The sequence below is a fragment of the Homo sapiens genome, chromosome 2, assembly GCF_000001405.40.
Source record: "Homo sapiens chromosome 2, GRCh38.p14 Primary Assembly".
NCBI lineage: Eukaryota > Metazoa > Chordata > Mammalia > Primates > Hominidae > Homo > Homo sapiens.
The window spans coordinates 8,226,171-8,239,169 of NC_000002.12; the positions used below are offsets into that span (position 1 = coordinate 8,226,171).

At 40.4% G+C, this 12,999-nt stretch overlaps 1 long non-coding RNA gene across 2 annotated transcripts in view, besides 1 other annotated feature; it reads right to left on the reverse strand.

Annotated features, from left to right (window-relative positions):
- The window catches only part of LINC00299 (long intergenic non-protein coding RNA 299), a 320,649-nt gene that overhangs the window by 218,400 nt on the left and 89,250 nt on the right, over positions 1-12,999 (reverse strand). The gene's annotated exons all lie outside the window — the stretch shown is intronic.
- Positions 3,699-3,878: an enhancer, noted in NCBI's record as "active region_15252". NCBI's record gives its function as "activates an Ori minimal core promoter by ATAC-STARR-seq in GM12878 lymphoblastoid cells {active_cell/tissue: GM12878}" and the evidence as "EXISTENCE:reporter gene assay evidence [ECO:0000049][PMID:35858748]".

A 12,999-nucleotide genomic window follows, 5' to 3' on the forward strand; every position in this document is an offset into this window, starting at 1 on the left:
TGATTTTTCCCTTGCTAAAACCAGTATTTATGGCATTTGAGTGAGCAGTAAATTACTAGTTGCAAGCAAAAAATGTGCTTTCTACATGTTCACAAACATATCATCACCTCCAATACTGCATCACTATAATACAGTATATGGCAAATTAGCCTGTTATATTTGGGGTAATTTAATCAACTGTCTAATATATACTCTACCAACCCATGTATGTGACTCATAATTACAGTGTATTGACTCAAATAACTTCATATTAATGGGCCAACAAACCACTTTAAAATGAATATCAGCCTTACCTCATATATACATGTTGATTTTATAAATGCGCGACTGTAGGATGAGATCTAAATGTGCAAAAATACATTTACCTACCAGAAAATTCCAATGACATTTGGTTTCAGAATGATGAGGAAAAGCTCCAAGACCCAAGTAGAAAAAAGAATATATCCGTTCCAGAGCGCCATTCATCCAACTCACGGAGACAACATTTTCCTCAGTATCTTTTGAGATACTGGGTTTCAAAAATTCAATTTCCTAACATATAAAATCCGTGCACACACATGTTGGCAATCAGAACCTTTCTGGAGGGTCTGCCTGGTAGGCAAGCACGTGACTATGAGGTCGCACTTGAACTACAATAAGACAATGTCCGTGGAGCTCAGAAGAAGTTGCCTTTTCTTTTATTGACACATGTATGTTATATCAAAGGAAAATATTTTCTCAACCCTTCAGGAGGGACTTGCCTGGCAGGCTCTTGTTTGTGTGGGATGAGGTTAAGTGAGCCATGCCTTGGATGAAGAGTGTTCCGTACCTTGCAGCTCTCACCTCAGGAAGTAGTTTTCAGTGTGGACTCACTCATCATCTTCCTTTTTCCTCTTGTGCTGGGAGGACACTGTGTTGGTTCAGGAAAAGCTTGGACCGTGAAAGGGCAAATGCCTAGGGTTTGAGCCTCCCCTAACAGTCCTTGCCATCCCATCTCACCAAATTGCCAAATTCTTCCTCTCTTCTCTACAGCATTGACAAGAGTTTCTGCTGAATGCTTCCTTTGTCAGAGCAATTCTCCTTGATACTGTCAGTTTGTTAATCATCCCACTCCCCTTTCTAGCTCAACCCTTTTGATTGTTTTTTAATTAGTTTGGTTGACCAAAAAAGAACAAGAATTTTAATCTTAGTTGCTTTGACATCATAAGGTAGCATTAATTGTGATTGCCACAAGCCCAACTGAGATGCAAAGAGGTGCAGAGACACCATTTCCCCTGTTGGTAAATACTTCCGATTTTTGCAGGAGCACTTTCCCATCATTGCAGAGTATCAAGGGAGAAAAACCCAGTCTTCTTCTCCTGCTGGAATTCCCAACAAACTCCATTACTCAATGAAAGATAGCCATCGATGTTTCTATGCAGGATTCCTTTCCTGCTTTTCTCAGGGAATGTATGTATTTCTGAATCCCAAGTCCTAAGAAAAATAAGTTGTGAAAACAGGAAAGCTGGAGGAACTATCATAATGTTCCTACAAGAAATAGAGTTAGCAATCAAGACATTATTTGTTCAGAGGAAGCCACTGATTCAAGTTAAAAAACAAGAGCAGAAAATGTCTTATGTAGAGTCCAACATTAGGGTCAAACTTTCTGGAAATCAGGTGGGGGCAAAGAACTGAGAAGCAAGGTAATGTAATCAGTTGGTTTTGCTCATAGCTGTTACTATAAGAGTGAGTTCTGGCCCTGTCTGCTGCAAATGGTGTGTCATTGTTACAAACAAAATAAATATGAATACCTTTATACACAGAGTACACTTTACACAAATCCGATGACTGGTGTTCTAAGAAATAACAAATTTTGGAAGCAAAATAAATCCTTAACTTGGCAACACTGACATGATTCTGTGTAGTTCTGTTAAAAATGCTGGGAGATCCAAGTGTTACATTATTGGAATAATACCCCAAGATATTCCTTAGCATTTTCCAATGTTTGAATATTTACTAGAGGCTACAGTTCTTTGTGAATACTTTAATAGGAGAAATGCAAAGATAAGACATCAATGTGGAATACTTCTACATGAAATCAGAAATTGATATGAAATTCAGATTAGCAAAAGTAAGATGGCTTTCGAAGGCAAAACCAAAATGAGGACCAGTAGACAAACTATTTTCACTGTTAAAATAGGAGACAAGCAACATGCCCCCTAATAATCAAATTGAGGGTGCTTTTGGAGGCACATTTATAATTCGACCAACTCGACATGAAATAGAAAAAAACTGTGTGCATCTTAGGTATTTGTTACAAAACATGGATCAAAACTATTGCACATGGCAACTGATGTTTTGAGTGTTTTAAAATGTTATTTTTAAGAATGGCAACTTTTAGATATTTAATATTTTGATAATATCTTTCCACTTTTAAATAATTTTTATTTGGCGTATATTTTGTGTTAAAGTTCTCTTAATGTTTTCTATTATGGAATGGTTCTATCAAAAAGAGATCACTCTTGCAGTTATGAAAATATTTCATCTTGTCAGCAATACATCACTTCATAATCATAATAAACCATGCATTTGCTATCATATATTTTGTTTGCAGAAAGTTTCTGAAAGTTTTATCATAGCACTATTAAAAATGATTTACTATTTATTAGTATGATCACTTATAATTAATTTAAAATATTTATATAAAATATTACTAAAAAATAAAGACTAACTTACAATTTCAGGGATTCCCTAGAATTCTCAGGAATTCCAGCTTCTTATTCTCAAGTCCCAAACATTAATATTTCTTGGGAGTGTGAAAACACTACGTACAATGGTGCTTATGTAGATCTTGTAATGTAGATTTTGGCAGACAGAAAGTACAAGTTTCGCCAAGTAACATTATCCAGCATCGTAATAAATGCTAATATGAAAAGGCAAGCAAACTTAATAAGATTTATAAAATGAAAGCCACATTGCTTTGATGATGTGATAACGTAAAGGTAAAATGTCTCTTCCAACTTGTAGTACTTCTTTAGAGCTAACTTTTATTTCACTTAGAAATGTGTGGAAGAGTTAATCCCTATAAATAGTAATAATTATTACTGAAGTAGAAACTTAAATCCTTTGAAATTTAGATTCTAAACTAACATGCATTCTTTAAATCATTTTACACATGGTATCCCTTGATATTGGTGGTGAGAAAAAAGAATGAAAACAAAGAAATAGAAAAGAGGCAGTTCTTATATAATCTCACAGAAAAATAGATTTCCTTGAAAACAGTTTTTGGAGAGAAGCCTTGGGTCTGAAATAATTCAATAAAATAAACATCCTCTGAGCTATTCCTAATTTATCTTTACTTGATGGTGGTTGCAGATTGGATTCTCCAGGAAGCAGATGCCCAGATGGAGGTTGAGAGTCGATTCGCTTTGTTAGAGACCGACACCTATTAAGCAAGAAAAGGGAGGACGCAGGATTGGGCAGGGTAGCTGGCAGAGAGCAACGACAAATGATGAAACAAAGTCTCTGCCAGGGAGATCCAAGGCTAAGGTTGTCTTTGAGAAGTCCCATGTGGGGCAGAGTCGGTTCTTTCTTGTTACCACAACTTTGCAGGGGCAACCGGTAGGGCCGCCCTGAGAACAGCATGACTCAGCAAAGCTGAGGCAAACCTCCAAGCAGCTGCAGCTGGAGACTATGAGTTAGCCACACTCTACGCCTCAGGAAGCAGGTCCTTTTCTTTCTCTTTCTTTCTTTTTCTTTCTTTCTTTCTTTTTTTTTAATTTGAGATCTTGCTCTGTCACCAGGCTAGAGTATAATGGCGCAATCATAGCTCACTGCAGCCTCAACTTCCAGGGCTCAAGTAATCCTCCCACCTCAGCCTCCTAAGTAGCTGGGACTACAAGTGTAAGCCACCATGCCCAGCTAATTTTAAAATTTAGCTATCTCACTGTGTTGCCCATTCTGGTCCTAAACTCCTGGGCTGAAGCAATCCTCCCATCTAGGTCTTCCAAAGTACTGAGATTATAGGTGTGAGCCACCGTGCCTAGCCAGCAAGTCCATTTTTTAAAGGGAATCTGAACAGCACATCTCTGCATCTGCCAGACAGTAAATAAGACCAAAAAGGCAACAACAAAAGGGGTCTTATGTTCTTCCTCATGAACAACAGAACCTCAGTAACCACTTGAAAAGTTCTTTAACAAGTATAATGTATATAGAAACTTTTTAGGAATTAGAACTACTTTTGATATGTGTGTCATAATAAAATAGTAGCAAATTGAAGTATAAATTATATTCTGGGATATTGATGGATTCCAATATATGTAAATTTCTTACTAAACCAGAAAAGTATAGGAATGTTGGCACTAGATTACTGACATTAATTGGTGTGCAGCAAATAAAACTATATATTTTCTCCATCTCTTCCTGGGGTCACCTTGTATTTGCAAAGGCTCACAATGAGATAATAGGCCAGATTTGTAAAAGGTACTCTCCGTTTTGGCCCAGGCAATTAAACAGAAACACAAAAACTGCCCCCACAATTGCCTAATTGCAGGTGCAATCAGTAACTGGCAGGTGCAATTAGACAGGAACCTCATTCAGGAGCTGTGAGTGACAGATTAGTCAATTATTCAATAGTAGACACAATGATTTTCACATGCAGTTTTGTATTCAAAGCTACTCATAGACTTTAAAATTGATAAATGATGGGTAAGACTCATGAAAAAAGTCTTTCCCAAACTAATTGTCTATCATTACCAAAGAAGAGACTGATTTGATTCTTGACCTCATCTATGAACTTGAGTCAACAAAAGAGAACAGTCCAATCCCTGGCTTAACCCAAATTTCTTAAGAATCCTTTGAAGAATGAGAAATTCAGGATCGTCTTAGACCTTCTAAGGCCTCTCCTCACCTTAGCAGATCTTTAATACTCTTTCTGTCAAAGCACATGACATTGGAGTCAATCTAAAACTTGCCCTGCATGAATCATTTATTCAGCAAAAATTGTGAAGAACCATCTCTGTATCAGGGACTGAGATATGAGTGATAGGACATGATCTCTGCCAAGAGGTAATGAGATGCAATAATTGAAGAGATGTGAGGGCAGAGACAGAAGAGAAGGAACCCCACCCCGCCTAGAGTAGACTGGCAGACTCCATGGGATAGGAGCAGGCATTGGACAGAGTCAAACAACAGGCTTCAATGCAAAGGGGTATATATTTATGTGAGAGTATAATCACCTGTCAATCATCAGGGATAAAATGCCATCTAATAATAGCATATTCCGTTTCACAAATTAAAATGAATAATTCTTCTTTAAAAGGATGATTCTACTACATTGATTAGGGTAAACTAAACGCTTTACTAAATATACCTAAACATAGTTTTGACTCAAATGCCACAGAAATCCATTTAACAAGATAATAGATTTCAAGTCAAATAATCAATAATTTTATCAAGTATAAAAACACTACATACCATAAGTGAAAGACAAAGATCATCAGCCTGAATTTACAAAAAGCACAATCCAACTATATGCTGCTTATAAGAAACATACGTAAGTATAAAAAAACAGAAAGTTTCAAATAAACAAATGGAAAAAAATATACCATGTAAACATTAATTTTAAAAAAGCTATTCTAATCACAGAAATACCAAAGGGTACATTTCATTATGACAACAGGATCAATCCAACGAGAAGACATAACAACCCTAAATGTGAACACACATAATAATATAACCTCAAAATATATAAATTTAAGAATTGGTAGAACTAAAGGCAAAATAAATGAATTCACAATCACAGTTAAAGACCGTGAAACACACCCCAGTAACTGATGAAACAAGCAGCCATAAATATCAGTAGAGACACTGGAAATATGAACAATACAAAAACATGTGATGTAATTAGCATGCATAGAACACTACACCCAACAACTAAAAATACACGTTCTTTTCAAGTGCACTTATTCTAGGGCTAGCTATGACCTACTACTGAGGCATGACGCATTTGGTATCTCTGAATGCCCCAAGCATTCAGTGAGGCCTACTGACTTTGGCTAGATAGAATCTGAACATCTCCCAGACCTATGCCAGCTCTAGGAATCACAGACTTTACATCTTCCCTGTCCTTCTTGCCTGGCATCATGGAATTTCATCCTCTGCATGTTCACTTTAGTGATCAGCAAGGGAACCAAGAGAAAACCAGCACAGATCTCTGGCACTCTTTCCCTGCATGGCTCCTTCTAGTACCCTGTCCCACCAGTTCCAGCATCTCCACCACCTTGAGCCCTGGTCTCTGTCTTCTCAGCTCAGCAACACCACCATTCTCTGCCTGGAATCCTCTCCCTACACTGAGGTTGAGAAAGTGCTTCCAGGCGGGAATCCATGGCTGTTGGTTCACCTCATTTGTTTCCGTTACCTGCAGTCTATACTCCAGGGTCTGACAACAGTTGTTTCATAGAGTTGATTCAATTTTCTACTTGTTTAGAGCAGAATAGTAAGTTTGGGCCCCATTATTTCACTATGGCTGCCTGGGTTTTTTTAATCCCTTTAAAATATTTTATTGATCATTGATGTGTATGGGCTCACTAAACAATTTTGATAGAAGCATTTTTGTCCAGTTTCACCATTCTAGTACTGTTCATTTTTTATATTGCTGAGAATATACTTCATCTTTGTGATGCCATATACAGATCAGCTCACACAAAGTCATTAGGCTATGAAGGGCAGAAATCTTAGAATCTTGCAGTAGTTGAATTCAGATCTAAAAGGGTACTTAAAAGGTCTATTCCAACCCCTCATTTTCAAAAGTGAAGTAGTAGAAACTGACTAATTGTTCATTGAATCTGTTTCCCCTTCTTCCTGGCCAAAACTAGTATGTATTCACCAGCCTGATGTGCAATTAAGTATGGCCATGTTACTCATTGCAGCCAATGAAATGTGAACAGATTCTTCAATTCTTTCTTCATCTACCAGCTCGATTACTGAATGACCATGTGGAAGTCTGGAGAGCAATAAGAACACCCAACTGGCCTTTGTACAAATAGGCATCCTATCTACTTTTAAAGTGTGAAACCACTGGGAGTTGGCAGCTGCTCTTACCTTCATAGATGCATAAATGGGAACTGATGCCCAGAAGGGAAAATGACAGAGTCCATCAGTCTAAGATACTTTTCACACCCAAACTGTTTCCATATTAATTCTATAGCAAGGGCCAAGACCAGGCCTGATGTGTTGTTGAATCATTTTTCAGTACCTACAATAGTGCCTCTTCTTTTTCTTTTCTTTTTTGAGATGGAGTCTCATTCTGTCACCCAGGCTGGAGTGCAGTGGTGCAATCTCAGCTCACTGCAACCTTCACCTCCCGGGTTCAAGCGATTCTCCTGCCTCAGCCTCCCGAGTAGCTGGGACTACAGGCATGTGCCACCATGCCCATCTAATTTTTGTATTTTTAGTAGAGACAGGGTTTCACCATGTTGATCAGGCTGGTCTTGAACTCCTGACCTCTGATGATCCGCCCGCCTCGGTCTCCCAAAATTCTAGGATTACAGGCGTGAGCCACTGCGCCCAGCCAATGGTGCCTTCTTAATGTAGCTTTTCAATTTTTATATACTATATGCCAGTAGAATATGATGAAGGGAAAAAGGCTCATTCCCTTTCCGTATGCCCTAAAATAGCAGGGCCCAATCAGTAAATACCTTCATAACGTTTACCCCAAACATATCTGGCCAAGCACATGAAAGGGAAAAAGATCTTCATCAGAAATTGTAATCCAGAGTAGGCTGGGGGACTTTTTATAGTAGTGGCTATTTGCCCAGGAATTTTTAAAGAAGGGTAAATTATGAAGCTGAGCGAGTAATCAAGTACACCTTCATCTGAAGATTTAAATACCCATAGGTAGTACTCTGTGCAGAACTCACAGATGCCAAAAGTCAATTGTCTCTACCAGATAAGGACCTTGGTCATGTAACTTAGCCTCTGTGCAGCTATCAACTGGTTGCCCTTCAACTCCAAATCCACCTTTCTTTGACCTGCTTTGTAATACTCTAAGACTCGGCGTTGCCCTCTGAATAATGGGACATGACATTGACACTTGCTTTCTCTATGTCAAAGAATTCCTTGAGGATCAAACACAGCTGGGCACCAACGCACTGCATATGGTGTCAACAAATCACCTCTGTGTTATTATCATCAGCACACTCGCCCCAATCCTGGGGAACTATTTCATGTCAATACTTCTCTCACAAGAGGGAATTTCTGTCCCGGAAACATGTCAGCCCTGATGACACACAGTCATATGGAAATAGGAAGCTAACAAGCATTTCTCCTCTCTCCAGTCAAAGCAGCTGTTTCTACACCCTTCTGCTTTTGCACCTGCCCCCAGTGCTGTAAGTTCTATGGAAATTCCACCCTGGTGTCAGCTCCACACTGAGAGGAAGGAAGGAAACTCTTCCTCAGGTCCCTCTGACCACTGTGGGAACCAGTGGTCATCAGGGTTGAAATGTTTCCATGTTCAGGGGATGTAGGATGGTTTTCTCTCCCTCTTCTTTTATTGAAATAAGCTCTCAAGTCCTGTCATGAAAAGGTAAAGCTTTCCTTTACAGGTAAAGTCCTGCAAGACAGGGCTTGAGAGCAGCACCATTTCTGAGGCTATTTATACACCCACAGTGCCCAAGGGTCAGGTGCGGCCATGAGCATAAAGCCAAACGACTGAGCTCTGACAAGGCTGACTGATCACTCTCCGCAGATTAGTTATTTTCAAGGCAAAGAAGTGCAGGTGCATGGCTTCCTGCAACTGAAATGACTTGCCCAGTGAAGACAATGCAGGCACATACGTCGTGCTTCTCTGACACAGCCAGTACAGTGCAGAGAAAGTCTCTAACCACAAGCTGACCAGGCTGTGGCCTTGTGGCCCCGGAGTCCCAGTCTCCCTGCCAAAGCCCAGATTCATGGACCCCACGCAAAAAACAGGTGTGAGGCAGTGAGGGCGGTGAAATGGTCTCTATTGTTTTTATAATAATCTCTTCTCGTTTTCTATACGGCAGCTTTCATTCAGTCCATTAAATGCAATTTCCTGGCATCACCCAAGCTTGAAAGGCCAGATCAAAAGTACAGAGTGTCCCAGCTGTGTGGTCCTCGTTCAGACCGAACATTAACCACAGCCCTTGCAGATGATTTATTCCATTGGAGACATGGAGACACCCTGTGTGCTTCCTCTCTATGGGATTGGCTTTATTGTTCTCCCGGCACTCCAGTTGTGCAGACATTTCCTTCATGTGCTCGTCTCTCCTACAACAAAACAATTTTGCCCCTCCTTTGATTTTACACCTGTAGGGCACATAAATGGGGAGGACCTTGTGGAGCTGGGAGAGCCCATATAGCTCTGACAGACAGACAGACACACTGCCTGCCTCTGTGAAGAAAGTCCCTTTCAACCTCATGTTTTGGGAAATGTAGTAACTCAGAAAGCTGAATTCTGTGCCAATGATCACATTTTAAGATTATATTTAAGGAACCTAAAAGGGAAGATGCAATATGCTTGGTACACAATAGGTGATAAATAAATAGCAATAGTCAAAGTAATGGGGAAGGGCAGGGTGCAGTGGCTCATGCCTGTAATCCCAGCACTTTCGGAGACTGAGGTGAGTGGATTACTTGAGCCCAGGAGTTTGAGACTAGCCTGGGCAATATAGTGAGATGTCATCTCTACAAAAAATTTTAAAATTAGCCAGGCCTGGTGATGTTTGCCTATAGTCCTATCTGCTCGGGAGGCTGAGGCGGGAAGATGGCTTGAGCAAGGAGGATGAAAGTTGCAGTGAGCAGAGATCGTGCACTGCACTCCAACCTGAGAGAGAGAGTGAGACCCTGTCCCAAAACAAACAACAAAACAAAAAACAGGAAAAAAGGTAACGGGCGTTAGAGGAGCATGAGGGCTGAACCAAGGGCCCTGACTGTGACTGCAGCATTGGGCGATGGCCCCTAGCTTCGTTAGAGCCCAGAATCAGTGTTTGTTTATCTTTTAAGTTCATAATCACACTCATCTTTAACATTTTCTTACACCCATAAAGAGGTGGCAGAGGAAAGAGCACTGGACTAAGGGACCAAGTCTAAGGTCCTGTTGCTTTTCCTCCTTAATCAGCTCAAGTCATCTACCCGCTCTGGTCCCTGTCTGTTAAGATCAGGAAGGATAACCCTGACCTCCTACTTCCCAAGGGTTGTGGCAAAAACTAAATGAGACCAGGAAAAAAAAAAAAAAAGGCTTCAAGAAAGGTAAAAACAGTAAGTGGAAAAAGTTGTTTTTATCTATTAAACAAGATAACTAAAAAGTGTAACGAATCGTTTGGCAAAATCTGAATTAGCTCCAGAATCAGAGCTCTCCATGAGGACAATTGCTTTTCCCCTTCAAACACTTGCATGTGGCTATTTCAGCTTTATGGCCCTTGTATGTGGCTACTTCCCTATGACAAAGCCAACCACTCATAGGTAGAACTGCTCCATAAGCAGGCTGTCCATCTTTCCATTTGAGTTTTCCTTGAAGGAAATCAAACCATTTTATCCCATACTTTGAAATGGCTGCTGCAGGGCAGGCAGACTGAGGTGGGGGAAACTTGCATCTGTAGAGAATCTCCAGTGATGTAGCCAGGCCTTCTCTTTCTAGGTCTTTCCTGGATCTAGGAGAAAAACTGAGAGTCTGTCACCTTTAAAAGCCTGAAAAGAAGCAGCATCTACTCTCTCTGAGGGCTACTACCTGAGAGGCTTTGTCTACATACTAAGGTCACCTTTGCCACCCAGGCGTCTTCCTTTTCCTTCTCACAATCTGTCTTTCCACTAAATCCTAATTTACCACCATAACCTGTTTGGGGCCATGCTCTGAGTCCACATTCTTTTTGCAACCTCAGGAAGCTTCTGTACCTCATCTGGGCTTGGGGCTTCATTCTGAAGTTTCCCGTGTATACATGTGACATAAATGTGTACGCTTTTTCTCCTGTTAATCTGCCTCATGGTAGTGATTTTTCTGCAAACCTTTAGGGGGACAACCCTTGAGCCCCACACCCTCCTGGAATTTTCTACCTCCAGAATCAGGTAAACTGCATCCTCTTCCTCCAGTCTGACTCTTTAGTAACAACTAAAGCTTACCAAGATTTGGCTGCCAAGAAACCTCTGCATTTCTGTGGAGTTTCTTGAAGACCCTACTATCAGCAGAACGCATAGGAATGGGGTTATAATGGTAGACCAACAGGCAGTAGGGCAGATATTTTGGCTAGATGAACTGCCCTCTATTCATTCGTGCTCTCAGCAACCTGCTCCTCCTCCAAGAACTCTGAATACAGCCTCATTTCAGGAGAAACTCATTTTCAGGAGTTTTGCTGCTGTCACAAAAACTACTGTCATCTGAAACATTCATAAATAGATTTGCCTGCAATTAAGCGACATGAAATAAATGGTGAGGCCAATGATACCAAGAGAAGAGAAGATGTCATCTGTTTGTTAGTTTTTTTAAACCAATGAAGCCAAAGCTTTGGAATGCCCAAGTAAAAATTCAGTGTGTGCAGTGGAAGGCAGCATGACCCAGTTCTCAAACTTTCTTTGCTCAAAGTGCCCTAGCATCTCTGTAATTTGTTCACAGTGCCCTTGTGCCAAAAGAAATTTCTAATGGTTCCCCTTATTAAGTACTTCTTCGGTTATAAGCGTGTATGTCCTAGGAAGCTAGAAGCCATTTGAAAAATAAGACACAAATTGAAAGAAAAGAGGCCATTTTTATTTCATTCTAAAATAGTTATTTACTAATAGCTGTATATATCCTTAGGGCCCCACACAACTTCTCAATCCCTGGACTCAGAGTGGACATTGCTACTCTCATTTCCAGTTTCATACTGATTTTTCCACAATAGGGACTTTTTATCTAAGCCACTTCCAAAAATCCAGCTTTGCAAAGGTATGTTATTAAAAGGAATACAGCAGGACCCACTGTTGAGACTGAACCATCTCAACTAGTAGTCCACACACTGCCTGACAGATGTTGAGTAGCACTGTGTTTCCCTAGAAAACTGAAAAATTTTCGATAACCTGCAGGGCTTGTCTGCATTCACTATAGTCCACTGGGCTGCTTCAGAGCAGGACTAAGAAATCACAGAAATCACAGAGCAGGACTGAAAGATCCCTGGGTGGGGCAACTGAAGGCCTGGGTTCAAATCCTGACTGCCTCCAGCAGCTGTGCAACCTAGACCAAGTAGCAAACCTTTCTGGGGTTCAATTTTCTATGTATAGAAGGGAGGTGAGAATCCCTAAAGCACAACTTACTCTAGAATTCTCCCCTATAAAAGGGTAACTCCAAAGTAATCTGCACATATTTTCAAAAAGATACAGAGAAAGTGTGACCATAAAACTATGCTCCAGTTTCCCAAACCAGTCTACAGATCTCCTTAAAACAGAGACATGAGCTGTGACCACGGCAATTCTGATGTGGGTCTGAGATGGGGCCCTAAATGTGTATTTTTTTAAAGTTCCTCCAGATGATTCTGTTGCCTGGATTAATTTGGGAATCATTTCCTACTGACAACACAGCAAAATCGACAGCCTCGTGCTCCAAAGCACCAAGTCAGCAAAAAATGTTTGTGCATATTAAAATCTATCTCATTATTTGCTTTTAATGATACTTCATTATATTCTCTTTTCCCTTTTAATTTGGTTGCATCACTCAAGTGGTGTGTTTGATTCCCAGTTTCTTGTCAGAATAGCCATGATGCCTCACCCTGCCGCCCTAAAGCTCACAGAGACAGGAAAACCAGAGTCCCCAGTGTGGCTGCACCGGGTCTCCAGCTGTCCGTTTGCAAAAGATACAAAAACCGTTTCATTTTCACAATAATTTTTTTTAAAGACTTCCCCAGATATCTACATTTTCTTTGGCAGTTTGACTTCGATGACACAAAAGTTCAGGGTCAACTTTCCAAAAAATAATGAGGAAAGAGCCAGCCAGCTGCTCAGTTGTGTCCTCACTTTCAATGCTGATTGCTGCAAAAGTACACATGAAATTCTGATGCA